The following is a 27,132-nucleotide window of genomic DNA, read 5'->3' as shown; positions in this document are numbered from 1 at the left end:
ATTCAAAGGGTGCCTCTCTATCTTTTTTACCTTCTGTACCTCCAGAAGCAATGCATTTCATAGACTGTTCCCATGAATCATGCGCACTTTAAGAAAACATATATAGCAAGTGGTTTTATCTCCTAGGAATCTTTTCCAGTATGTTAGCACATACGATGGACTTTCTCTTTTTTCTGGTTTTCTTAGATCAATCACAGGCCTGTCAATGGCTCTCCTCTTCTCTCTTCTATTCACTTTCTCCAGGCTGCTCTGTATCTCTGTTTCTCAGAACTGTATCTCTGTGAAAGTTTATGGCAAGATCTTGAGACACAGCTACTTGAGACTGGATGTTTACTTCCTACTTACAGGTATACTGAAATTTGAACATTCTCTTTTAGTTATGCAGGTGGCATGCATTTCCTGCAGTTTTGTTTGATCTTTTTTATTGTTCTGTAGTGTGGTTTTCAGAGAATGAATTGGGAAATTCAGATTTATGCAGCTATAGCTGCTATTGCCTGGCTGCTCAGAAATTGTCCTGTCAGTGTTATCTTGGTGGAACTGCACACTCTGCACCAGGCATTGCAAAAAGAAAAACGTCCCAACTTATCTAGCCTTTGTGAACAAAGAAGCAACCAGACCCTTCATTCTCCCATACATTGTCCTGGGTTTGAAGGAGGAATGCGTTTATGGTTTGGGAATCTTTTCCTGGAGGACAGTCGCAAAGTTATTTGCTTCTCCTTTACCATGACAAGTACCTATCTTTCCCATCTTAAAGAGTGCCAGAAGAGGAGGGCAGTCTCAAGTCTAATCAGGTGTGTGACTCAGGTTCTGAGTTATATACTGCTTTTTTACCCCCTTCCCTTCAACCTTCTGTGCACCAGAGCTAGGATTGTTCTTTCCTTCCAGGAGAGCTGCAGGAGGGAGTAGTCACCCGAGGATTTTCCTGATGCTTCAGTTCCACATAAGACCCTCCCTGCCCTCAGTCCACCATACAATTGAAAGCAGTCAGAAAATGGGGTTATACCAATGCTATTGAGTTAAATATTTGGCCTTTGCTTGAACCTTGCATTAACAGACCATTAGGACTTTTCTCATTATGTCTAGACCCTGTGTTCTATAATCACCCCAGCAGTCCCAATTCCCCAAGTTGTCCACTGTTACCTGGGGCCCTCATCCTCATACTTCTGATATGTCCACTATTATAAGCCAATTCTCCACTGTTCCCATTGCTTCCAAACATCTCCACAGAGCCCTTTAAAATTCACTTTTAAATGTTACCATCGCTTCTTTCTTCCTTTCTTCTTCTTTTTTTTTCTCTTTTTCTCTGTTGCCCAGGCTGGAGTGCAGTGGTGTGATCTTGGCTCACTACAACCTCCACCTCCTGGGTTCAAGCGATTCTCCTGCCTCAGCCTCCTGGGTAGCTGGGATTATAGCCACATGCCACCACACCTGGCTAAAATGTTACTATTGCTTAATTTTTTTTTTTTTTAACTGAAAGTTGTCTGTTCTTAGAGGTCCTGCTTCCACTGTAGACTTCTTGGGTGGAGACTACTTTTTCTTCCACTCCCCCCATATTCCAGAATCAGGAGGTGGAGCTGGCGTTTCGTTTTCTCTCAATAGTGCTTCCAAACACTTTTCCTTCTTTGTCTTTCTAAGCCCTAGGTAATTTTAACTATATGTATACCTCAGGACAGAGGATCTCTCCTTCTTTCCTCAATGCAGTTTTCTACAACTCTTTTGATGATCAGTTATTGGTAACAATGGCTTCCATTTCATCATCTTTCTCTCTATGCCAACTCATTCTTGTTGACTTTGTATTTATTTACGGTGATAACCCATCTTACAACCTAGCTTGCCATTTCTTTACAATTTTCACCTCTACTAACTTTGTTTCCACCCCGTCTCAGCCCAGAGCCTTGGCACTACATTCATTGCATGACTTCTGGCATCTTGAATTCAAGTATACTCTCTGACCACTGCCTTCAATTCTTCTAGCTCACTTACTCTAGTATTCCTATTTGAAAAATTCCTCAACTCCATTGAGATCTCAAATCCATTAATCTCACTACCTTTTCACTATGCATCACCACATTCATATACTTCCCTCTTTACCCATCTTAGAATCGATGATCCATCATGGTAACCAATCCTTGTGTCATACTACCTGGCTAAATCCCAACTCCGGCTGAGCCCAGGGTTATCTACTTTCTCAGCACCTGTACTGAAGCTGCTGAATGTTGCTGGATAAAAGTCATATAACTGGGATGACTAGCTTGACATCCATGTTATAATGATTACAATCTTCAAGTGGACACTCATCCCTTCTTAGCAATCCTACCAAGTTTCTATAGAAAGTTTGCTTTTCAGTTCCCAAGATAAATAATTCATACCTTACGCTCCTTCTTCACACCTTTTCCACTCCTCATCTCCTTTACTCTCAGCCTTTGACCTTGCTTTAGACTAAATAGAGAATGCAGAAGCCATTTGGTCAGACTTTTCTCATCTCTCCTCTGTGAAATCTACAACTTAGTTGAACTTAAATCTGTCTTCTGTGTTTTACCTCCTACCCCTGCTCTTGTCAAATGAAAATTGCTTAATTTGTGCTTTGGCTCCAACACCCTTTTGCTTTGCCAAGTATTTCATTTCTTCGGTTGTCCCCTCCCTCCCCTTCCTGCCTCACCAATCTCTGCCTATCTACTGAATCATTTCCATCAGCATAACCTGCTGGAATGACTCTCATCCTAAAATTCCTTTTCTTGACTCTTATCCCACCTTCACTACAGCTTCACTTCTCTACTTCTATTTACAACAAAGTCTTCTCTAAAGGGTTACATCCAGCCTTCCATCTCCCATTCACTCTCCAGCCCATTTTTGGCTGGTTTGCGTCCTCACCACAACATTGAAACTGCTCTTGTCAAGGTCACCTAGAACTCCCACAATACCAAATATGATGGACCCTTGATTTCTCAGTGGCATTTGACATGAATGACACTTTGCTCTCTTGGTTCCTGTAACTCCATACGCTCCTGACTCCCCTCCTTCCTCTTGGCTCTTCCTTGTAAGCCTGACTTCTAAATGCTGAAGTCAATGCTTCATGTTGTCTCTTCTCATTTATCTGCCCTTTCTGCAGATGGTTTCATTCACTCTCATAGCTTTAAATGCTTATGCTTTCCAAATATCCACCTTCAACACAGAATTTTACCCCTGAGCTCCAGATTTATTCAATTGCTAATTGATCTCTCTACCTGAATGTCTGAAAAGCATCTGAATCTTAGTAGTCCAAAACACAGCTTCTGATTTCTTCCCTCAAACCTATTCCTCTCCCATAATTCACTGACTCGGTAAACTCACTATTATCCCATTGTTCAAATTAACAATTTAGAGATATTCCTACATTTTTCCCTTTCCCTTAAATCCCATATATTGCAGCCATGAAAATGCACTTCTCAGATCTCCAATTGCAGGGAGCATTGTTGACTGATGCCTCAGCTGCTGTCCTTTGAAATTTATCACCAGGCTGCACTGCCCACTGACTGCTCCCAGCCAGTGACTGAGCAGAGGGATTTAAGGCAGGCCCATTCCTGGGAGACACAGAACTCTTCTGATATGGGGGACTTTGGCTTGAAGGCTTTCCACTGGCTGTGCTGAAACTTTCTCAGAACTGTATCATATCTACAACTTTTCCTACTTTTCCTTTCCTGTTCTCCACAAGGGTTGAAACTGTCTAATGTCTTTCCTAATTCCCCTCAGATGCTTCCCTGTTATTACCTCACAGGTGTTCCCTTCAATAAATCTCTCACATGTCTAATCTGATAATATTGTTTGCTTCTCAGGGGATCCATATTAACACATTGTATTTGATCCACCAACAAATTTTATGTCATGTCTATCTCCTGAGTACCCCTCTTGCATCCATCCACTTCTCTTTATTGCCAACACTACTCAAGGAGGAACTAAGACATTTCTCCCCTGGATTATTGCAATAGTCATCTACTTCCATCTCACACCTTTCCAATCCATTCTCATCTCAGTAGCTGCAGTGATTATTTTTTTTTAATAGTAAATCAATTGTGTCACTTCCCTGCTTAAAACCTTTCAATAGCTTCTCATTATGCTTACAGTCAAATTAAATTTCTACCATGGCCACACAATACTTTAGAGTCTGGGCTCTTGCCTCTCTCTTCAACCTCATCCCATCTCATCTTCCCCTTTGTCCTGATGCCCACCAAGGCTCAGACATACTAGTGGCCTTTCTCTTCCTACAAATTGCTGAGTCCTTTCCTGCCTGAGGGGCTTCCGACTTGCTCTCCCTTCTTCCTAAAATACCCTTCCTCCATCTCTGCAGAAGGTGGACTCATTCTGACTCCTAGCCCTCAACTTAAATGTCCACTCATTTCCTCGCACCTAGTTATCACTCTCTGTCACCACTTTGCTTAGTGTCTGTTTCTCCCACTTGAACAAGGGCAGGCAAACTATGGCCCATGGACCACCATTTGTTTTTGTCTGGCCCATGATCTAAGAATGGCTTGTACATATTTAAGTGTTTGAAAAAGCTGCATTTTTAAAAGAATATTTTTTGACACATGAAAATTATGTGAAATTGGAATTTCAGTGTCCATAAAGTTGGAACTAGCAATGCTCATTTGTTCAGGTTTTGCCTATGCCTTCTTTTAGACTACAACTGCTGAGTTGAGTAGTTGTGCATGGCCCACAAAGCCTAAAATATTTACAGAACAAGTTTTCTGCATGTTGTACTGGAAAGTAAGGTTGAACGCCCATTATTTGTCTCTTCCAGTCCTTTACTCTCAGTGCTTGCTCCATAGCTAGTGCTTAATAATTACAGGTTGAACAAACCTTCCCTCTCTCCTAAGACTGTTAATATCTAAGGGGATAGGTTGACTTACCTCTCTTTGGCTTATTCTCTTCTAAGAGCCAGTCAGGGAAATTTGGAACCAAATATTTTTGATTTTGGGGAAGCACCTTGAAAACAGGACTGTTATATTTCTCTTGAAATATCTAGCACAGTACCTTGCACAAGGTAAGATGGTGCTAGAAACTGGAAGAACTGTTTTAGGGTTATCGTTAACAGGAAATTAAGTAGTGCATGCAAAGCACTTAGCACAGTGTCAGGTGTACAAAAGTGTTGAATAAATGTTTGCTCTCGCCTCAATTTTCCTTGCTATAATGGGAAATAAATATCACCCTTTATATCACTGTCACACAGACTAAACAAGAATGCTGTGTGTGAAAAAGCTTTGTAAGCTGCAGACACTATCCAGATAGACTTATCCAAGTGCAATATATTAACACACGTTGGCACTGAGCAGCCCTGTTTGGAGGGATGGGCACTGACCTGGGGGTGAGAACACTTAACATCCTAATTCTTGCCACTTATTAAGTGACCTTGGACAATCGCAACTTCTGCGGCTGTTTCTTCTCTTCACCTGTAAAACCAGCCTCTGAACACACAAGACCGTCCCTTGGGGTTCAGCCCTGGCCTTCTCTACCGTGTGTTTCCCTTACCTCCGGGATGGAAGACCCACCCGACTCCGAGGCGGCCCACTGGGGCGAGACGAATCTGGGGGCGGGGCGTGGCGTGGCGTGGCGTGCCCGGGACGTGGCCTCCCTCCCTCCCTGAGCCGCTGCCTCAGAGCCGGGCCGCACGGGGGCGCCGCTGGGGCCGCTCTGCTCCCGAGTTGCCGAGCAGCTGAGAAGGCGTTCACTTCCGCGTCCGCCCCGCGGCGTCCGGCGGCCGCGCCGAGGGTCTGGCGGGCCGCAGGTCAGTCTGGGAAGCTGCCGACCCGCCCCACCCCCCCGGTGCGGAAGAGCCGGGCGCGGGATGGGCCGCGGGCCCGGAAGGCGGCGGGGCGCCCTGAGGAAGGGCACGGGCCGCGCTGGTAACGCGCGCGCCCCGGGCTGCAGGCTCGGGCTTCGGGCCGATTTGGGGTCTCCAGGCCGCGGAAGACCGTGGCGGGGCTTTCTGGCTCCCCAGCTCCTCCCGGCTCTTCCCGCTTCGGAAGAGGAGTGTGAGCCCCTTGAGCGATGTTTTTCAAAGTGGGGTTCGCGGGCAGATCCCGACCCCTCCTCAGACTTTCTGAGGAACTGTGTGCTGTGGCCGGAGTGTCTTCGTTTTCCCAAGCGTCCCTGATGGTTTTGATGCAGGTGATCATAGGAATGCACTCTGGGGGACATTGTCCCCGAGGGCTGGACACTTTCCACATAGCAGGGAGCCTAACTGGGTGCTTTTGAGGATGGGGCCTGCGGAGTGCCCCCCTGGTGTGGCCTTGGAATGATGATGTTCCTATCCTTAGGAGAGACTGCCTGGGGTTGGGGTAGGAGGAGTAGCTCTTAAATCCTCGGGATCGGGGTGCTGCTGTGTTATCGTAGCCAAGTCTTGAGATGGACAGATGCTTAGAGAGTGAAAGGGCTGGGTCAGGATCCATAGGGGTGAAACAGTGCTGGAGGAGGCGGTGTGGGGTGAAGCAGGAAGAACTTGGGGTTCGTCCTGCCGTTCTGGATTGGGGCTGGCTCCACAACCTACTAGCAGTCAGTCCTTGTGTGGCCCCTGTACACATCACTCTTTTTTTTTACCCCAATGGCCTCATCTGTCAACAGGGACAGTAATTCCCATCCAATAGAGTTTTTGTGTGAATTAGGTAAAGTGTGTCAAGTGTCTCTTACAATGGCTGGCACATAATAAGCATTCAGTAAATGGGAGTTATTAAGAGTGACACAGGCCCTGGCTTCCTTGGCCTACAGACCAAAAAGTAGGGATTAAACAAGTGGGGTAAAAAGTGGACAGACACACAGTATATTTGTAGAATTGTGCAAGGATTCTAACTTGGGGGGCAGAAGGATACGTGGGACGGTCATGCAAGAAATTAGGTTTGCTGAAGGCCTTGAAGAATAGATAGGATTCCAGGGAGCCAGTAATGAGGCAGAGGGAACAAGTTCCATCCCATGCCTCAGAGGTGGCTCTCACACATGGATCTTTGGAGTGCTGCTCCCAGGACTTCTAGGCAGTGCGAGATGTCACATCCATAAGTGGTTTTGGAAGGCTGGACCTTTGGCCCATAATGGTTTCTGTTGCTGACCGTATTCTACACACATGGTCTTCCTCAGATTTTAATGGTCTCCTTCCATTTTATTGGAGACTAGCTGGCATCTACAAAACGATCTTAGTTGTTCACTGAGTAAAAGTGAATTGACATGGATGTAGTTGAGCCTTTTGGCAGCCATTTTCAACTTGCTATGAAATGTGTGGATACTGCAGATTCTCAATAATTGGGAGTACCTTTTTCATCACAGTATTGTTTTAGGTGGGAAAACACCACAGTGTCACTTGTGGTTCTGTGATCTCCAGAATGGATTAAAAAAATCCAACCCTTAAACCTTCCCTGGGCCTGGTGCAGTGGCTCACGCCTGTAATCTCAGCACTTTGGGAGGCCGAGGTGGGTGGATCACCTGAGGTCAGGAGTTGGAGACCAGACTGCCCAATATGGTGAAACGCCGTCTCTACTAAAATTACAAGAATTAGCCCGGCATGATGGTGTATACCTGTGGTCCCAGCTACTCAGGAGGCTGAGGCAGGAGAATTGCTTGAACCCGGGAGTGAGCCGAGATGGCGCCACTGTACTCCACCCTGGGCTACAGAGCGAGACTCCATCTCAAAAAACAAACAAGCAAACAAACAAAAACCCCCCAAAACTTCCCTAAAGCTTCATCCATTTCACAGTGAAGAAGCTGGATGATTTGGAGGTGTTATTTGTAGTTCTAGACTGGCCTGGCTACTGGTCTACATAGAATTCTGATCTCAGGCTGGGCGTGGTGGCTCATGCCTGTATACTCAGCACTTCGGAAGGCCAAGACAGGAGGATTGCTTGAGCCCAGGAGTTCAAGACTAGCCTGGGCAACACAGCGAGACCCTGTCTCATTTTTTAAAAATTTAAAAAAATTAAAAGAAGAATTATAATCTCAGTTGATAAATTATATATTCCTTAGTTACCTAACTTAAGAATTATAGTTATCATTGTTAATAATTCCTGCTCCTTTATTTCCTTACATTTCCAGAGTCAATATCAAGTCCCTCAGTAGACACCTTATGGTTAAATTTATATCATTATGCATAATATTTATAATTTATTGAATAGTTACCATGAGCTAGATTCTGCTCTTTTGCTGTTTTATATATTCTTTTAATTATTCCTCTTATAGTCCTTTGAGCTGGGCATCATCACTGCCTCCATTTTATGGAAGAGGAAGATAAGTAATTTGCCCAAGATCCTAGAGCTGGTGAGGGGAAGAGCCTAGCAGCTCAATTCCATGCTGTCCACTGATCTCTGCAGTCTAGAGGCTCCCTCAGACTTATCATGGTTAAAAAGATATGTGAATACTGAAGATCATAAGCAGGCCTCTCCTTTGTTTGCTGTGTGACAGAGAGTGCATTACCATGTTTAAACAGTCATTTCAACAGCAATGATTGGGTTGTTAGTCGTTTATTATCTTTTACAAATCCTCTTAGCCAACATTTTCCAACTTCTTAGCATATCTCGAAATTCTCTTATATTATATAAAATCCTTCAATTCAATAATGCCAGTACTGAGGAATTTATTTTCAGTCATGTTAAAGTATATTTATTATATTATCTATTTAGTGTCTTGTTGGAAATGGCGGGGATGACTGTCCTTTGTTTTACAGAGGGAGACCAAGACATCATTGTTTTGAAGTTTCTGAAAGTGTTGGGCGGCAAAAATTCAGGTGCCTGGGGGAGAAATGGAAGGCCACAAGGCAGAAGAAGAGGTGCTAGATGTTCTCCGACTGAACGTGGGTGGCTGTATTTACACAGCCCGGCGGGAGTCCTTGTGCCGCTTCAAGGACTCCATGTTGGCATCTATGTTCAGTGGTCGCTTTCCTCTAAAAACAGATGAGTCAGGTAAATGTCTAAAGTCTGAAAGCATGATCTGAATATTTATTAACACCAGTTTAAGTTCCCTTTGATTTTCTTAATTACAGCGAAATGTACTAGATGACTATACTAATTACTGAGATCATTAGGACTCTATGGAGATTCATTAAGTACGTGGAGAAATTAAATACTACTTCTGAAAATCTGTGATAATGTTAAAAGTTGACAAAGAAGTAAGAGTTCATAAAGGCTGGTCATAACCTAATTATGGGGATTAACTGTATTTTGAAACTTGTTACTTTCATGCAGCTTTGGGTGATGATATTGATGCTGATTAAATATATTTGCTTCTCTCTGTGTTCTTCAAATTGGAAAATGTTTTGTCTGGAGAAAGCAGCTGCCCTCCTTATTGCTAACAGAGCAGCCATCGTCATTGTAGAATTAGTGTTGGGCTCGCCACCTAGCCTAGCTGTGTAGTCTTGCTGTGTGTCCAATGTGCACGGCTGAGAAAAAGTCTGTGCAGTGATACCGTCAGAGGCAAAGGGGCAGCGGACTGAAAACTGGGTTTCAGAACTGTAAATCACACAGGTAGGGTTCTGGGGCTGCTCTCTGCTTCCAGTGCTCTGGTACTCACTGAACCTGCTACTGTTTGTAAAGAAAGTTCATCAATACAAATGAAGTTTTTTGCCCTGTGTATGAGCCCCAGACCCACTCTTGGTTCTGTGTTAGAGGAGAATGATTGAGGAGTCTTGAACATGAGGGACTGTTTTACTGTTAATAACTCTGGTGTTAGGAGGTTGCTTTGCTGGTTAAATGGCAGTTGAAAGAATGGGAAAAAAAATCACCAGTGGCTGGTGCCCAGGGCTTGGTTTCTACCTGGGCAGAAAGGTTGTTGGGGCAAAGATGGTAAGCAGGGATTGAGTTTTCTTCTCTGCCCCTAAATTTTACCTTCTTAATCCCTTCTTTTGTGAGGAATTACTGACTAGCCTCATGTAGAGGTTTTTCTCTCTTTTTTTTTTTTAATTCTGCTAAATTATCTAAGAAAAATATTTTATTATAAAGTAGTACCAGCATAGTGTTTCTTCTTTTTTAAAGTTTGGGTTCTCGTAGTACAAAAGGACTAACCCAGTAATTCGAATCATCTGGCATGCCTGGAGTGAGGAACCCCAGATTTGTAGTGTTGCTGATATGCAAACACTGGACATAGTGATGAGCACCCCACATGCTCTCTTTAGTGAGAACCTCCATATACCTGTTCTAGTCCAGCTGAGATAAGGTTAGGGGTAAACTGCTGTTTCTACCAGCAGTGTGGGGTGCCCTTAGCTTTTGCAGTGGCCATTGTGGGAATATAGTCATTGCATCCAAAGTTCTAAATGGATCTCAGAATATATTTTCCCATATGGTAGTGAGAACGCAAAGGTCCACCACTGACTCATTCAGTTTCTTTGTGTACAAATCAGAAAAGGGTGCCCTTTTATCCAGGAAGATGCAGTTCCATGCCAGGGTGCATGGCTTGGTGAGCAGAGTGTGGGTTTGGTTTTAGCCTCTCTTGCCCACTTGGCCTAGCATGGTGTATATAGTACACCAGTACAACCAAACATGGCAACCCTGGTGATATATATTTGCATTCAAACTTATGTGCAGTATTATAGAACTACAGGTGATTGTCCCACACATCTCATTCAGATTCTATTTTACAATATCACCTATTTGTAAGCAGAGGGTTGCTGGTATATCATATTTGGTGTTTGAATAACCAAAAGTCTAGCTTAGATTACATAAACCTATTTGAACACTAGATGTTAACTTTCATGTGAGAAAGAAACATTTATAATTGTAGAGGTCCTCAGACCTAGTTTGATTTGTTGAAATCTTATTGATCGACAGAATCTCTATAATCATTTTTGAACTGAATGTTTTCTAGGGGCTTGTGTTATTGACCGTGATGGACGTCTATTTAAATACCTTTTGGATTACCTTCATGGAGAAGTTCAGATTCCCACAGATGAGCAAACCCGCATCGCCCTACAGGAAGAGGCTGATTACTTTGGCATCCCTTATCCATACAGCCTGTCTGACCATTTGGCCAATGAAATGGAGACATATTCTTTAAGGTCAAATATAGAACTTAAAAAGGTCTTGGCATTTTTTTAAGTTTTTGAATATATATATTTATGATGCACAAAGCAATATGTACTATTTTGCATAGCCTGTGTTTTCACATTAACCAAACAAGATAGTTTTTATGCATTTTGAAGACATGTTTCTTTACTACTACTTCTCATTTTTTAAGGCCAAAATTCTTGGAAAGTATATTGCCACTCAAAGGTTGATTGAGTTTATATTGCTCACTGAAGATTTAACACTTTTTGACGGCTTTTTTACAGAACTCCTGAAATTCTTGCTTTTTTTTTTTTTTTTTTTTGAGGCAGAGTCTTGCTCTGTCCCCCAGGCTGGAGTGCAGTGGCGGGATTTTGGCTCACTGCAAGCTCCGCCTCTGGGCTTCACACCATTCTCCTGCCTCAGCCTCCCCAGTAGCTGGGACTACAGGCGCCTGCCACTATGCCCAGCTAATTTTTTGTATTTTTAGTAGAGACGGGGGTTTCACCGTGTTAGCCAGGATGGTCTCGATCTGCTGACCTCGTGATCCGCCCATCTGGGCCTCCCAAAGTGCTGGGATTACAGGCGTGAGCCACTGCACCCGGCCAATTCTTTTTAAATTAAGAGAAATACTATACTATGTGAGGGCATAGTGGTATTATTTTATTTACTAAAATGATTTTTGAAAATAATGATCCTGATGAATAATAAAGCATCTTACTTGATTTAGTAAGTGTAGTAGTTTGTTACTAATTTAAAACATTAGTTTGGCTAATTCACTTTGAGATCACTAAATATCTTTTTAAGATGCTTCTATTTTAAATTGCATTTTAAAGATCTTTACATGATTTGAAAATCCTAATTATCTGTTTTTGTCTTATTGAAAGTATTATATGTGTTATTAATTAGCACTTTTGAGCATCTAAGGAAAATATTTTTCTTAGAAAATTGTTAATAGTGAAAACTGATCTGAACTTGTTTGAATTCTTTGATTTGGATGTCAGCGTTTAGGAAGCAAGCTGATGGGTGGTTGGTTATTAGGAGTGCAGCATGAATAGAAAGTTGATTTGGTTCCAGATCCCCTTTAGGAATTTAAATAGTTATATGGGTTCTGCTACTGAAGTTATTCATAAACTATATTTTCGAACGATAGTCTTTCCCTGCTGTTGCCACATCTGCAGAATGAGGCCTGACTAGAAGGTTGGGAGGGTTAATGCTCATCTTCAGAAGTCTCAGCTCTGTAATCTTTTATTCCTGGTTTTTATTCAAAAAGGACACAGCATGCCCACATTCATGCTGTCAGCCAACACATGTTTGTTTCAAGTGCCTGTGACATGTATGGCACTGTACAAGGGGCTGCGTGGGACACCAAGAAATACAACATGTAGTTCTTTGCCCTTGAAGTTTATAGTATAGTTGGGAATTCTTGTAGATGTATGTGTAAGTAAAATTCCAAACCAATATAGGAGTTAGATAGCAATATTAAATGAAAGTGCAAGACATGGTAGGGCCCCATTTTCATTCACTGAGTCAGTAAATACTAGGCATCTCGTTTGTGTCAGGCACTATTCCAGACACTTGGGATATAACAGTGAACACAATATAGTACCTGTCCAGAGTACTTACAGCAGTAAAGCTGTTCCTCCCAGGGAAGGCCCTGGCAGCTTCACTGGGTGAAACCCTTCTGCTCTCTGCCCTGGAGCACCTTGTGGTCTCACTGGTGGCACTTCTTTTTTTTTTTTTTTTTTCTTTTGAGATGGAGTCTTGCTCTTGTTGCCCAGGCTGGAGTGCAATTGCATGATCTCAGTTCACCGCAACCTCTACCTCCCGGGTTCAAGTGATTCTCCTGCCTCAGCCTCCTGAGTAGCTGGGATTACAGGCATGTGCCACCACGCCCAGCTAATTTTGTATTTTTAGTAGAGACAGGGTTTCTCCATGTTGGTCAGGCTGGTCTCGAACTCCCAACCTCAGGTGATCTGCCCGCCTCGGCCTCCCAAAGTGCTGGGGTTACAGGTGTGAGCCCCTGCACCCGGTCCTGGTGGCACTTCTTACACAGGGTGCTGGTGGCTTATTCAATGTCTGTCTTCTGCATTAGCTATAAACTCTGGGAGGACTGGGACCCTGTCTCACCATTGTTCATTGTTATATCTGCAGGACGTTAGAGCTCAGCTCAGAGTAGGAACTTAATATTCAAATGAATGAATGAATAGGTTGATAAGTGCCAAATGAGTTCAGGCAGCATATACGGAGTTTAGATATTGAGTTTACATATTCGTATCTTTCCGTGTAAAAGTAAAATCAATCTGGTTAGTCCATGATTAGAATTTGGAGCTAAAAATAAGGACCAACCATGGGGTTAGTCAGTAGAAGGTGAATGGAAGATTGTGTAAAATGGGAAATTTTGGGGAAATTACTCTAAAGGGAAAAGAAAAAGGTCTACATTTTGGTTATTATATGAAGATTTCTTTTTTTTTCTTTTTTTTAAATTTATTATTATTATACTTTTAAGTTTTAGGGTACACGTGCACAATGTGCAGGTTAGTTACATATGTATACATGTACCATGCTAGTGCGCTGCACCCACTAACTCATCATCTAGCATTAGGTATATCTCCCAATGCTATCCCTCCCCCCTACCCCCACCCCACAACAGTCCCCAGAGTGTGATGTTCCCCTTCCTGTGTCCATGTGTTCTCATTGTTCAATTCCCACCTATAAGTAAGAATATGCGGTGTTTGGTTTTTTGTTCTTGCGATAGTTTACTGAGAATGATGATTTCCAATTTCATCCATGTCCCTACAAAGGACATGAACTCATCATTTTTTATGGCTGCGTAGTATTCCATGGTGTATATGTGCCACATTTTCTTAATCCAGTCTATCATTGTTGGACATTTGGGTTGGTTCCAAGTCTTTGCTATTGTGAATAATGCCGCAATAAACATACGTGTGCATGTGTCTTTATAGCAGCATGATTTATAATCCTTTGGGTATATACCCAGTAATGGGATGGCTGGGTCAAATGGTATTTCTAATACTAGATCCCTGAGGAATCGCCACACTGACTTCCACAATGGTTGAACTAGTTTACAGTCCCACCAACAGTGTAAAAGTGTTCCTATTTCTCCACATCCTCTCCAGCACCTGTTGTTTCCTGACTTTTTAATGATTGCCATTCTAACTGGTGTGAGATGGTATCTCATGGTGGTTTTGATTTGCATTTCTCTGATGGCCAGTGATGGTGAGCATTTTTTCATGTGTTTTTTGGCTGCATAAATGTCTTCTTTTGAGAAGTGTCTGTTCATGTCCTTCGCCCACTTTTTGATGGGGTTGTTTGTTTTTTTCTTGTAAATTTGTTTGAGTTCATTGTAGATTCTGGATATTAGCCCTTTGTCAGATGAGTAGGTTGCAAAAATTTTCTCCCATTTTGTAGGTTGCCTGTTCACTCTGATGGTAGTTTCTTTTGCTGTGCAAGAAGCTCTTTAGTTTAATTAGATCCCATTTGTCAATTTTGGCTTTTGTTGCCATTGCTTTTGGTGTTTTAGACATGAAGTCCTTGCCCATGCCTATGTCCTGAATGGTAATACCTAGGTTTTCTTCTAGGGTTTTCATGGTTTTAGGTCTAACGTTTAAGTCTTTAATCCATCTTGAATTGATTTTTGTATACGGTGTAAGGAAGGGATCCAGTTTCAGCTTTCTACATATGGCTAGCCAGTTTTCCCAGCACCATTTATTAAATAGGGAATCCTTTCTCCATTGCTTGTTTTTCTCAGGTTTGTCAAAGATCAGATAGTTGTAGATATGTGGCGTTATTTCTGAGGGCTCTGTTCTGTTCCATTGATCTATATCTCTGTTTTGGTACCAGTACCATGCTGTTTTGGTTACTGTAGCCTTGTAGTATAGTTTGAAGTCAGGTAGCATGATGCCTCCTCCAGCTTTGTTCTTTTGGCTCAGGATTGACTTGGCGATGCGGGCTCTTTTTTGGTTCCATATGAACTTTAAAGTAGTTTTTTCCAATTCTGTGAAGAAAGTCATTGGTAGCTTGATGGGGATGGCATTGAATCTGTAAATTACCTTGGGCAGTATGGCCATTTTCACAATATTGATTCTTCCTACCCATGAGCATGGAATATTCTTCCATTTGTTTGTATCCTCTTTTATTTCCTTGAGCAGTGGTTTGTAGTTCTCCTTGAAGAGGTCCTTCACATCCCTTGTAAGTTGGATTCCTAGGTATTTTATTCTCTTTGAAGCAATTGTGAATGGGAGTTCACTCATGATTTGGCTCTCTGTTTGTCTGTTGTTGGTGTAGAAGAATGCTTGTGATTTTTGCACACTGATTTTGTATCCTGAGACTTTGCTGAAGTTGCTTATCAGCTTAAGGAGATTTTGGGCTGAGACAGTGGGGTTTTCTAGATATACAATCATGTCGTCTGCAAACAGGGACAATTTGACTTCCTCTTTTTGTAACTGAATACCCTTTATTTCCTTCTCCTGCCTAATTGCCCTAGCCAGAACTTCCAACACTATGTTGAATAGGAGTGGTGAGAGAGGGCATCCCTGTCTTGTGCCAGTTTTCAAAGGGAATGCTTCCAGTTTTTGCCCATTCAGTATGATATTGGCTATGGGTTTGTCATAGATAGCTCTTATTATTTTGAGATACGTCCCATCAATACCTAATTTATTGAGAGTTTTTAGCAGGAAGGGTTGTTGAATTTTGTCAAAGGCCTTTTCTGCATCTATTGAGATAATCATGTGGTTTTTGCCTTTGGTTCTGTTTATATGCTGGATTACATTTATTGATTTGCATATATTGAACCAGCCTTGCATTCCCAGGGATGAAGCCCACTTGATCATGGTGGATAAGCTTTTTGATGTGCTGCTGGATTCGGTTTGCTAGTATTTTATTGAGGATTTTTGCATCAATGTTCATCAAGGATATTGGTCTAAAATTCTCTTTTTTGGTTGTGTCTCTGCCCAGCTTTGGTATCAGGATGATACTGGCCTCTTAAAATGAGTTAGGGAGGATTCCCTCTTTTTCTATTGATTGGAATAGTTTCAGAAGGAATGGTGCCAGTTCCTCCTTGTACCTCTGGTAGAATTCGGCTGTGAATCCATCTGGTCCTGGACTCTCTTTGGTTGGTAAGCTACTGATTATTGCCACAATTTCAGCTCCTGTTATTGGTCTATTCAGAGATTCAACTTCTTCCTGGTTTAGTCTTGGGAGAGTGTATGTGTCGAGGAATTTATCCATTTCTTCTAGATTTTCTAGTTTATTTGCGTAGAGGTGTTTGTAGTATTCCCTGATGGTAGTTTGTATTTCTGTGGGATTGGATTTCAAAATTAAAAGTGATGTTGGCAGTGGAGGAATGATCTTATAAAGATGATAAAATTAAAAGTGATGTTGGCAGACTAAAAGAGTAAGAAATAAAATGGAATTTCCATGTGGAAAAGGTTTCTGTAGATGAAAAGGTGTTGGGGTTTTGGGGGGTATTTTTTGTGATTGTCCTTCCTGCCCCGATTTAATTAAAAAAAATGTGTGTTTGATTTTTAAAGATGTAAAGACTAAGCTGAAATATATAATCTTTTTATTTCCCTTATGATCAACTAGAATTTCAGCTTTTACATGAAAGTAATGGAGCATATTCATTTTTATTTTACTCTAGAATTAAATTCAAATTTTATATATACTTTTTGCTTTAGGCTTTAACAGACTTCTGTGATTCATATGGCTTAGTCTGCAATAAACCAACAGTTTGGGTTCTCCACTATCTTAACACATCTGGTGCAAGCTGTGAGAGTAGAATTATTGGTGTATATGCCACAAAAACTGATGGAACAGACGCTATTGAAAAGCAGCTGGGAGGAAGAATTCACAGCAAAGGCATTTTTAAAAGGTATGTCCAAATTTAAATGTGAAAAAGAACAAAATAAAGTCTTGGTCTCTTTTAAGAGGTGTTTCTGAATGAAATGTGCTTGACTAGAAAAGACCATTAACACCTCTCAGGAGACACAGTGAGCCATCATAGCAGTTGAGATAGGCCTGCTTCATGAGGAAATTATAATTAAGATCATTTCCCATACAGTATGGATAAGCTGCATGCCATCTGCATGATCTAGTGCAGTGGTTCTCAACTGGGAGTCTGCATCAGAATCCCCTCCCCTGAGAGGCTTAAAAAGAAAAGAAGAGAAAGAAAAAAGAAAAGCCACATGCCTGGTGTCTTCCTAGACCATAGAAGCATTGGCAGAAGAAGTCAGCAGGCCTACTGAGTGACTCAGGGCTGGCCTGCCTTGGTGTCTTCTTCTGAGAAATGACGAAGCACTTGCTGGTCCCTTCCAGCTTTAGAATTTTATGACTTGAACATGTTAAATTCTTAAGAGTTATTACTTAATATTTTTCCTATAATCTTATTTACACTGGTTAATTCTCTTAGCAATTTTTAAAAAAATTCTCTGGCAGATGGGATTGGGTCGAATATTAGTGACTAATGAAGGATCATATAAGCTTGCCTTTTGAGATTATTAAATATGTCATCAGTTTCTGAATTCTTTACAGATAGGGATGCTTCTATGTAAGATGTGTAAGTGCCTGGCATAATGCTGGTGAAACGTGAATATTTTCTAAGTTCATTGGAGTTCGCTGATTTTTTTTAAAAACTTGATATTAAAGATGTGTTGATTTGTCTACATGGTGCATATTGTGGAATTAATAAAATACTATGATAAAAAGAGATCAAAATATAGGTTAGTATATTATATAATGTGTACATATGTATCTGTGTAAGCATATGTATACTTAAGGATCACAGAACAACTACTCAGTGCTTACATGTTTTTTCCCTTAATTAACAAGCTCTTATTAAATGTATATTAGCTGTATGTATATATGCACATCCATACCTAGGTAGTATATTTTCATTACTCTTTGCAATATTTCTAGAGAGGCGGGAAATAATGTTCAGTACATTTGGAGCTATTATTCAGTAGCAGAGTTGAAGAAAATGATGGATGCCTTTGATGCTTGGGAAGGAAAAGGTACAGTGCAATTCTTTTATTTCATGGAAGCAGGTGGACTTTAAAAAAAAAAGACAAAGTAAGCTCAAATACTGCATTTCTTTTTTTAGAAAGTATTCTTTTGAGTCTTACAATGTATTTGTCATCTCATGATAACACTGAGGCAGTTTACTTACAAATCTTTAAATCCCATGAGTTGCTAGATATTATTAATAGTTTATAATTCAGTAACTAGGTATGTTTCTGTTAGCTAGGCTTATTTAATTTAATTAAATAAGAGTTCATTTAGTACCTACTGTGCATTGGAAAAATACTTCAAATTAAGCATAAAATATGTAATCAAGGAAAGGGAGAGAAAATAATGTTGGAGAAGATGTCTAAAGAGCCCTTATAAAATAATTACAATAATCTTTAAATGTACACTTTGAAAACTGGTCATTTTTCTCAAACTACAGAGTGAGAGTTGGTAATAATAATGCTGTTTTATATCCCCGATAAGTAGTTTACATTCAGTATCTCTTAGTCCTAACACAATCCTGTACGCTACTTACCATTCCTATTTTATAGATGAGGAAACTGAGTCTCAGAAGGGCTTTGACACTTTCATAAGGATCACAGGTTACGTGTTCTGTTCTATGCCTAAGCATTTTTTTTCTTAATTAACAACCATGTATTGAGTGTCTGTTAGGTGCAAAGTATGATAACAAGTCCTAAAATTGGATCCAAAGATAAATAAGACTTATTCCATCCTCAAATAATCCTGAAAGCTAGTAAAGACTGACTGCCAGTCACACAATGGATAAAAGATCTGGGCCTGGTGTCATGCACCTATTGTCTCAGTTACTTGGGAGGCTGAGGCAGGAGGATTGCCTGAGCCCAGGAGTTTGAGGGTGGAGTGAGCTGTTATCACACCACTGCACTCCAGCCTGGGTGACAGAGCAAGACATAAAAGGAGAGGAAGAGGCTTTTAAAAACTGCATTGGCTGGGTGCAGTGGCTCATGCCTGTAATCCCAGCACCTTGAAGGCCGAGGCAGGTGGATCACCTGAGGTCAGGAGTTTGAGACCAGCATGACCAACATGGCGAAACCCCATCTCTACTAAATACAAAAAATTAGCCGGGCATGGTGGCGCATGCCTGTGATCCCAGCTACTTGAGAGGCTGAGGTGGGAAAATGGCTTGAACCCGGGAGGCAGAGGTTGCTGTAAGCTGAGATTGTACCATTGCACTCCAGCCTGGGCAACAAGAATGAAACTCCGTCTCAAAACAAAACAAAACAAAACACTGTATCAGCTGTTCTTCCTTCAGGTGTCGTGCCAGCTCCAGTCCTTCTTCCTTTCCTCAACTTTGCCCCCCTCACTTTCCTTCCTTTTTCCTTTCCAGTCATACCCCTCAAGAGGCAGGATGACATCTTTCAGCTTTCTATTTTATATTTAATTTACTTTGAGACACTTATGCTCAAGTTGGAGAACAAACTCCATGGTGTTCTCTGTGTCTCTCTTTGTGCCTCTGGACTGGCAAGATGTCCAGGAGCCCACTGCCTTAGAAAGCTGAAGGAGGGCTGGGCACGGTGACTCACACTTGTAATCCCAGCACTTTGGGAGGCCGAGGCAGGTGGATCATGAGGTCATGAGATTGAGACCATCCTGGCCAGCATGGTGAAACCCTGTCTTTACTAAAAATACAAAAATTAGCTGGGTGTGGTGGCACACGCCTGTAGTCCCAGCTACTCAGGAGGCTGAGGTAGGAGAATCGCTTGAACCCAGGAGGCAGAAGTTGCAGTGAGCCGAATTTTTGCAATCAGATCTTGGCGATGACCTTGAGCAGTAGGATATAAATAACTCCCACATGCTTAGTGTTCCAATAATGGAACACTAGGCATAAATGTTAAACACAAAACAAAACAAAAAAACAAGAAACATTAAAAATTATAAATAAAATTTAAAGACTAATAAAAAACTAGGATAAATAATGTTGCATTAACTGGACAAAGTATATCCTTAATAGAAAGAAAGTTTATTAAAATTGATTAGAAAGGCAACCACTACTACAAAAAAAAAAATTACAAGGTTCATGACCATAAAATTCCCAGAAAAAGAAGTAAACACGTGGCAGGCGGTTCAGCTTCATTCCTTATCAATGAAATATACATTTAATAAAAACAATTTTTTATATACCAGATGAGTAAAGATCTCTTATTCATTCCTGGTAGGAGTAAAAATTGATGTAACTTTTGGAAAATAACTTGTTAGGTCACATCAGTGCATCACAATTGTTCATATTCTTTGACCCAGTAATTTTACTTCTTGGAATCTATCTTATCTATCTTAAGGACATAAACACAGACAAAGGCTTAGGAACAGAAATGTTCTCTGGCATTTTTCATAATAGAGACAAAATAAAAACACTTTAAATGTCTAATGATTGAGGGTTAAATATATTTTGGCACATCCACAGAATGGAATATAATAAAGCGATTAAAGTTATTTTAAATAACTTTTTGCATAGATGAATGCCCATGATAAGAAATGATGAAAAGCAGGAAATAAATGTAAAGTATATCATATGACTAGAAAAAAGACTGGAATGAAACATATTAGTCTGTCCTGAGCCAATGATTCCTGGTCTTCTGATTAGGAGTGACTTTGATTCCCTTATATATACTTTTCTATATTTTCCAGGTATTGTACAAGGGATGTGAATTACTTTATAGGCAGGAAAAAAAAAGAAAGTTTTTAAACAAATTGTGGTGTATCCATACAGTGGAATACTACTCACTGATAAAAGAAATGATCATTGCTACATACAGCAACATGGATGAATCTTAAAGCATCATGCTAAAGAAGCCAGACACAAAAGGTTGCATTTTGTATGATCCCATTTATATGACATTTCAGAAAAGGCAAAACTAAGGATATGGAGGGGACATTGATTGCTAAGGGGTATGAGGAAATTTTTGGGGTGATAGAAGTGGTCTACAGATTATGACTATGGATACATAACTATATCCATTTGTCAAAACTCATTGAAATGTGTACCTGAAAAGGGTGAATTTTATTTTACATAAATTATATCTTAATAAATCTGACTTTTAGAAAAAGCAAACTTAATGGACCGGATTTGGGAATGTTTTTATAGTATGTGTAGGTTTTGGAGTGTGATCAAGCAGTTCCAGAAAGTTAATTGTTTTAAAATGAGGATCATAGAGTTATTTGAGTATCAGATATGTCTATCATTATAATGATTTATATGCCCAGCTTGCTAAATTGTTATTGTTACCAGAAGTTTAATAAGAAGACAACACCAAATCCATTATTGGGACTTAGATTACTCCAAGCAATTTTTATTCAACATAATTCCTTGAGCTTTTTTCATGTGTATATATTTATGCTTCTTTTCTAAAAAAAATTGAGATGGAAATTCACATAACAGAATTAACTAAAGCATACATTTCATTGGTATTTACTACATTCACAATGTTGTGCAATCATTACCTCTCTCCAGTTCTAAACATTTCATCACCCCAAAAGGAACCCCTAAGCGGTCACTCCCCACTCCACTGTCTCCCACAGCCCCTGGCAACCAGCAGTCTGCTTTGTGTCTCAATGGATTTACCTACTCTTGATAGCTCTACAAATGGAACAATACAAATGTGACCTATTGTGTTTGGTGTTTTTCACTTAGCATAATGTTTTCGAGGCTTCAAGAATAAATACATTTTTCAGCTCTTAATAAAAAACATAACAGATTTAAAAATTAAAATGAATTTGAATGGCATTTTTGCCTAACTCACTAGCTCAGATTCTTGTTGGAAAAGGTGGTTATCGGGTGGTGATGTCTCATATTTGTACAGTGGTTGCCATTTTCAGAGTAGTTCACAAAGTTCCCCTGATTTGATGTTACAGCAACCCAGTGAAGTAGACAAGGCAAGTGTTACAACCCACCCCCTATACAATACTTATACTGCTCCCTACGACTACTGGGAATAAAGGTACTTGACAGTTTTTGAGTGCTTAGTCTGTGCTAGACCCTGTTCTAAGCACTTTGCATTTATTAACTCATTTAATCATCACAGTGGTCCTTCAAGGTACATACTATTATTGTCATCATTTCACAGCTGAGAAAATTCAGGCCCAGAAAAGTAACTTTCCCAAGGTGACATGAATAGTGAGTGAGAGATGGAGATTGAGACCCACACAGGCTTTGCTGGAGCCTGAGCCCTCACTCTCAGCTGCCCTGAGTATGCATCATAACCTGCTGAATCTTCTCAGCTAATCAGTGGCAAAGCTGGTGGCCAGCTCTTCCTGACCCAGGTCGTGAGCTGTGTTGCTCCCTGGCCCTAGCTCCTCGTGTGAGCGCTTCCTGTTCATGTTGTGCACACCTCTCTTTGCCAAACGGGAGGCATGAACCTCAGACTCTGGCAGGTCTTAGGCGAAACAGTGTTGCTCAGCATTTTGCAGTGGATGGTAGCTGTCTTAATTATGTCTTTTTACCTTCCAGGTGTTAGCTACTGGCGGGTGCCTCATGAGCTGATAGAGTGTTGGACTCTAGAAGAACGGCCTTTACTTGGAAGCCTGCGTCACATGGCTCCAATTCGAAAGAGGTTATCTATGCTGTGTTGTTTATTTGTTTTGTTTTTTTAATCGCTGACATTTTTACTGCCTTTGTGAAGGGAAAATGAATAATAATTCTTGACCTTACTAAGCTTATTAATCACCGATTTGAATATTCTGTCTTACCATCAAAATATAGATCTTGATAAATATAAAGTTACCAAAACTATGTAAAAAGTGGCTATAATTCTTTGTAACTGCATGTGTAACATGTTCTTATTGAGAGAGTGATTCTAAAATTACTAGTGGACACAGTGGGCATGCTGTGGTAAATATTTTTGCTCCACAGAAGTGGAATCCCAGGCTTTACTGGCAATAGTAAAAAAAAAATCTATTTAGACTTAATACTTGAAATTTCTTGTGGCTTATTCTGAGTTCCTTTCTGTTTCCTATTGCCACAAATAGCACTTTTATTAAATGGTATTTTCCTGTGTTCCATGAAATTATTAGCATTAAATTCACTCCACAGCTGTGTCTTTCACTGTGTTTTAAATACATTTAAAATCACATTTTTTTTACAGTGTCTGGGTTTTATTCATGGCCTTCAGATGTTCTGATTTCTTGATCACATGTTCTACAATTTAATTGAATGCCCGTATGGAATTTCAGACTACTTTCTTACATTTGCCCTCTGGGTCTTTCACTGAAATGCGGAGATGCTTATTCAGTTTTTAGTAGTTAACCATCACTTGTCAAAACAGATCTTATTTCTTAAAAGCCATAATTTTATTATCATTTATTTTACCTTTTGAGCCTACAGTTAGCAAATATATTTGAGTCAAGAGCAGTGGTTCTCAACGAGGGGTGATTTTGCCTTCCAGGGGATATTTGACAATGTTTGGCAACATTTTTAGTTGACACACTGTGGGGTGAGAGTTGCTACTGGCATTTAGAAGGTAGAGGCCAAGGGTGCTGCTAAACATCCTACAGTGCACAGGGCAGCCCCCCAGAACAAAGAATTATGTGACCAAAATGGTAATAGTGCCGAGGTTGAGAAACCTCAGTGTGGAGTCTGGTGGAAGATGTAGATGGAAAACATAGCAGGCAGGCAGGAGTGGTTTACGGAGACCCTCCTCTGTGTTAGTTATCTTTCCTCTACAAGTTTACGAAGCATTATTTTTGATGCATCAACAGGATAACGATGATGATGACTGAGAAGCACTTGTAAGGTCCCAAGGAGCCATCTGGTGACCAGGGAAAATGTTCAGTAGGGATTTAGGGTTGAATATATTATATTTGCACTCTTTGCTACAGATGGCAATTTTCAAATAACCACGTTATTATGATCCCATTTCCAAGAATGGGAGTTGAATAAGTTGTAATCGCCTCTAATGACACATTGATGCTATGCAGACTTGCAAGAGAGCAGAGTGAGAGGATTGCAGTCACCTTTCATGCTTGGGGTGGTCCTCAGGAAGTGAAGCTGAAGGAGCAGGCAAGGTTTTGACAATGATTGTTTGACGGTTTTAAGGTCATTTAAAAAAATGTTCCCCCGTAGGCTTTTTATAATGAATGGTAAACTCAGTTCTGGAATCTTTGAAGGTTTGTCCATGACTGTTCTAGCAGTCCCCAAAATGGGTTCCAAAGAATGCAAATTTTACTGGCCATCAAAGGTTTCACTATAGAATGATTGGGAAATACAGATATCTTTAGTATAGGCCTTTCATAATCTTTAATATGTTAACATGAATTTTAAAGCTTCAAGAAGAAAAAAAGATATGCAGCAGTTTATTAGTTTTGCATTGCTATAAAGGACTATCAGGCTGGGTAATTTATAAAGAAAAGAGGTTTATTTTGACTCATGGTTCTGCAGTCTGTACAAGAAGGTTAGGGCCAGCATATGCTTCTGGTGAGGCCTCAGGAAGCTTACAATCATGGCAGAAGGTGAAGGGAAGCAGATATGTCACACGGTGAGAGACAGCAAGAGATGCCAGGCTTTTAAACAGCCAGCTCCCACGTGAACGAATAGAGTGAGAACTCACTCATTACCATGGGAGAGGGCACAAAGCCATTCATGAGGGATCCTCCCCCATGACCCAAACACCTCTGTCAGGCTCCACCTCCAACATTGGGGATCACATTTCAACATGAGCTTCGGGGGGGACATGCAGCCAAACTATATCAAGCAATATTTCTAATATTTATTTGATTGTGAAATCTTTTTTTTTCTTTACTAAATCTCTTTAAACTGCAGTTCTGGGAAAAACAATTTGTGATATTTCTGGTTATCCCGTAGGTCACATCATGATACTTGGGAACAGGGTGATATATTGTATTCTTATGTAAAGTGCCAAATTTTAATTTGCTAGTATTAATATTATGTGTGTGAGTTTACATAATTCGTATTCAAATTAAGACCAATCTTTTGTAAACTTGCTTACTGACCTTGGTGGGAGATGAGAGATGAGGTAGGTGCCCATAAACCTCTTGACTCTTTAATTCTTGACCAAAACCTTTCTGTTAATGCTGAAGGTAAACTTGGGAGATGTTTTCATGAGTTACTAAAACTATACATGTGGAAAATGACACGCTTCTGTATTTCTAGGCGACTGATAACGTTCAATGAAGCGGACGAAAGTGTGAACTATAAGACTGGTCCTAAGCCAGTTAGATTTTTGGGCCCTTCCACAAGTACCCAAATTAAAGTCAAGAACTCGGCCTCAGTCACGGTGTCTCCAGCCAGTGCCATCCAGACGTCGGCTGGGGCGACAGCAAACCGGTTTCAAAGTGGTAGCCGCAGAAAGGCAGCTCAGCGCTCTGCACCTTCCAGAGCCACGGCCCTGGTGGGCACGGGGGCACCTGGGCATCCTCAGGCTTCCCCTGGGGCTGCGAGCGCTGAAAATGGAGGCACGCACTTACCTCCAGCTAAGGTGCTACTCTCCGACAAGAAGCCTACACCCCAGCGGGTGATAAAGCTGAAGAGGACTCCGCTGTGCGCCACCGCGCCTTGCCTGCCCTCCCCCACGGCCACGAGGCAGGCCAACTCCCTCAAGCCGCTTCCCGGCGAAGCTGCCCGTGCCTTGGGAGTGCGGACTGAGAACGGGAAGAACAAGGGAAATTGATGAAAGTGGTGGACTTGAAATTTCCCGTTCATCTCCCAAAGCTTTCAACCCATTCGACGCAAAGAAGTGACACTTTCTTAATGCAGCAGAGGGGAAGCTTAGGTTTATGTTGAGGATTCTGTTCCTGGAATTGTGTGAGCTAGGAATGGAGGAGGGGAGACTTTCAATGGTTAAGGCTCCATTTCTCATTTTCCCAACTTTTATATGATTGTCTATGGGCAGTTTGAATTTCTGGTTTTCAATTTATTTTTTAATGATTAATTCGTATTAAGGCAACAAGACAGTACAACAAATAATCTCTAGAGAGGTCCACTTTGTTGCTGAAGTAAACGTTACTTGTTGCAACCCGAGGATGGGCATGAGGTTTGGCCTTAGGTATTCCTGTCTGGGAAAATGGAGGGGGTGATATTAGTGGTTCCCTGTACTATATCACAGCCAAGAGAGATTAGAGAGAGAAAATGTAGATCAAGGCGAGCTGCCTACAAATTACTCTGTCTCCAAAGGCAACGTGAAAAGAAATGATGGGGAGGAAAAAACCCCATAGATTGAATTAGCACTTTGACTCTCACTTAATTCAACGATTTTCTTTCCTAGATTGGCTTTTCTTACTCTTTTCTGTTAGTAGATTTATTTATAAACACCACAAGAAGATCTCTTGGGATCAGAATTATATAATATCTTTGAAGTAAATTATTAAAATATCCTATTTAATTTGAATAGTGAAGTTTTGAAAATACTTTGAAAAAGAGAAGTAAAAGTTTAACTTTTTAACTAAAGTTAGTATTTGTTTTTCAGAAATGACCACTGAAGATTCATTCTGATTATACAATATGATTTTTATGCATAAAATTTCCATGTAACTTGAATTTAATATTTTTAAACAGAATATTTTGACTAATCCTCTATTTTTTCATGACTATTCAGTTGTGTGTGTTTATTCGTAAATGTTATGTTTTGTAATTGGATCACATATTTCTACTTTCAGTGAGAGTATGCCTTCACTATGTTAAAAAATAAGCTCATAAAACAGGGTACTTTTTATTCAAATGCTTATCATTGTACTTTCATTGCTTTGAAAGAGTAAAGTAAGTATACTCAAAACATTACGTTTTACAAAATCAAATAAAACTTTTCCATAAAAAGTGGTATTTTCTGTGTCTGTACTTTTTAAAGCCGTGGAGCCCTGTAGTAGTTTGAAAACTTATTAGTTTATTTAGGTTATCCATTTTCACTTACAAAATTGCTTTCTTGTGCAGATAAAGTATGAAATAATTAAATCAATTTTGGATAACTATCCATCTACTAGGAACTTTTTAGATAGGCTGCTTACTTTGCTAGAAAAAGTGATTATTTAATTGAAGATCCATGATGACTGTCCTGTGGAATATATAAAATATTCAGTTACTTTTGAAAATGCCATTATAGAGAATCCAGGCATTGTGGAAATCAAAGACCATAGTGAA

General features: G+C 40.6%; 1 protein-coding gene across 4 annotated transcripts, besides 1 other annotated feature; it reads left to right on the top strand.

Moving 5' to 3' along the window:
- Window positions 5,469-5,928: a silencer, noted in NCBI's record as "silent region_12225". NCBI's record gives its function as "represses an Ori minimal core promoter by ATAC-STARR-seq in GM12878 lymphoblastoid cells {active_cell/tissue: GM12878}" and the evidence as "EXISTENCE:reporter gene assay evidence [ECO:0000049][PMID:35858748]".
- Window positions 5,701-26,811, top strand: KCTD18 (potassium channel tetramerization domain containing 18). Of its 4 annotated transcripts, none has more exons than NM_001321548.2 (7): window positions 5,701-5,758; window positions 8,678-8,912; window positions 10,810-10,999; window positions 16,685-16,878; window positions 17,922-18,016; window positions 22,495-22,597; window positions 25,153-26,811. In NM_001321548.2, the coding sequence occupies exons 5-7, from the start codon at window positions 17,983-17,985 to the stop codon at window positions 25,667-25,669; spliced, it is 654 nt and encodes a 217-aa protein (NP_001308477.1). In that variant the 5' UTR covers window positions 5,701-5,758; window positions 8,678-8,912; window positions 10,810-10,999; window positions 16,685-16,878; window positions 17,922-17,982; the 3' UTR covers window positions 25,670-26,811. The 4 variants fall into 4 exon arrangements, with proteins under 4 accessions (NP_001308477.1, NP_001308476.1, NP_001308479.1 ...); NM_001321547.2 differs by having other exon boundaries at window positions 10,810-11,021; NM_001321550.2 differs by having other exon boundaries at window positions 5,701-6,141.
- Window positions 26,812-27,132: the final 321 nt, after the last annotated feature.

Source organism: Homo sapiens, chromosome 2, assembly GCF_000001405.40.
Source record: "Homo sapiens chromosome 2, GRCh38.p14 Primary Assembly".
Taxonomy (NCBI): Eukaryota; Metazoa; Chordata; class Mammalia; order Primates; family Hominidae; genus Homo; species Homo sapiens.
Note: the sequence above shows the minus strand (reverse complement) of the source record. Positions and strands in the feature narration are given on the sequence as shown.

Coding starts and splice junctions, on each gene's coding strand:
- KCTD18 (NM_001321547.2), top strand. CDS start 8,753: ATGGAAGGCCACAAGGCAGAAGAAGAGGTGCTAGATGTTCTCCGACTG. Junction 11,022..16,684: donor CAAATATAGAACTTAAAAAG/GTCTTGGCATTT, acceptor TTTTTGCTTTAG/GCTTTAACAGACTTCTGTGA. Junction 18,017..22,494: donor TGATGCTTGGGAAGGAAAAG/GTACAGTGCAAT, acceptor TTTACCTTCCAG/GTGTTAGCTACTGGCGGGTG.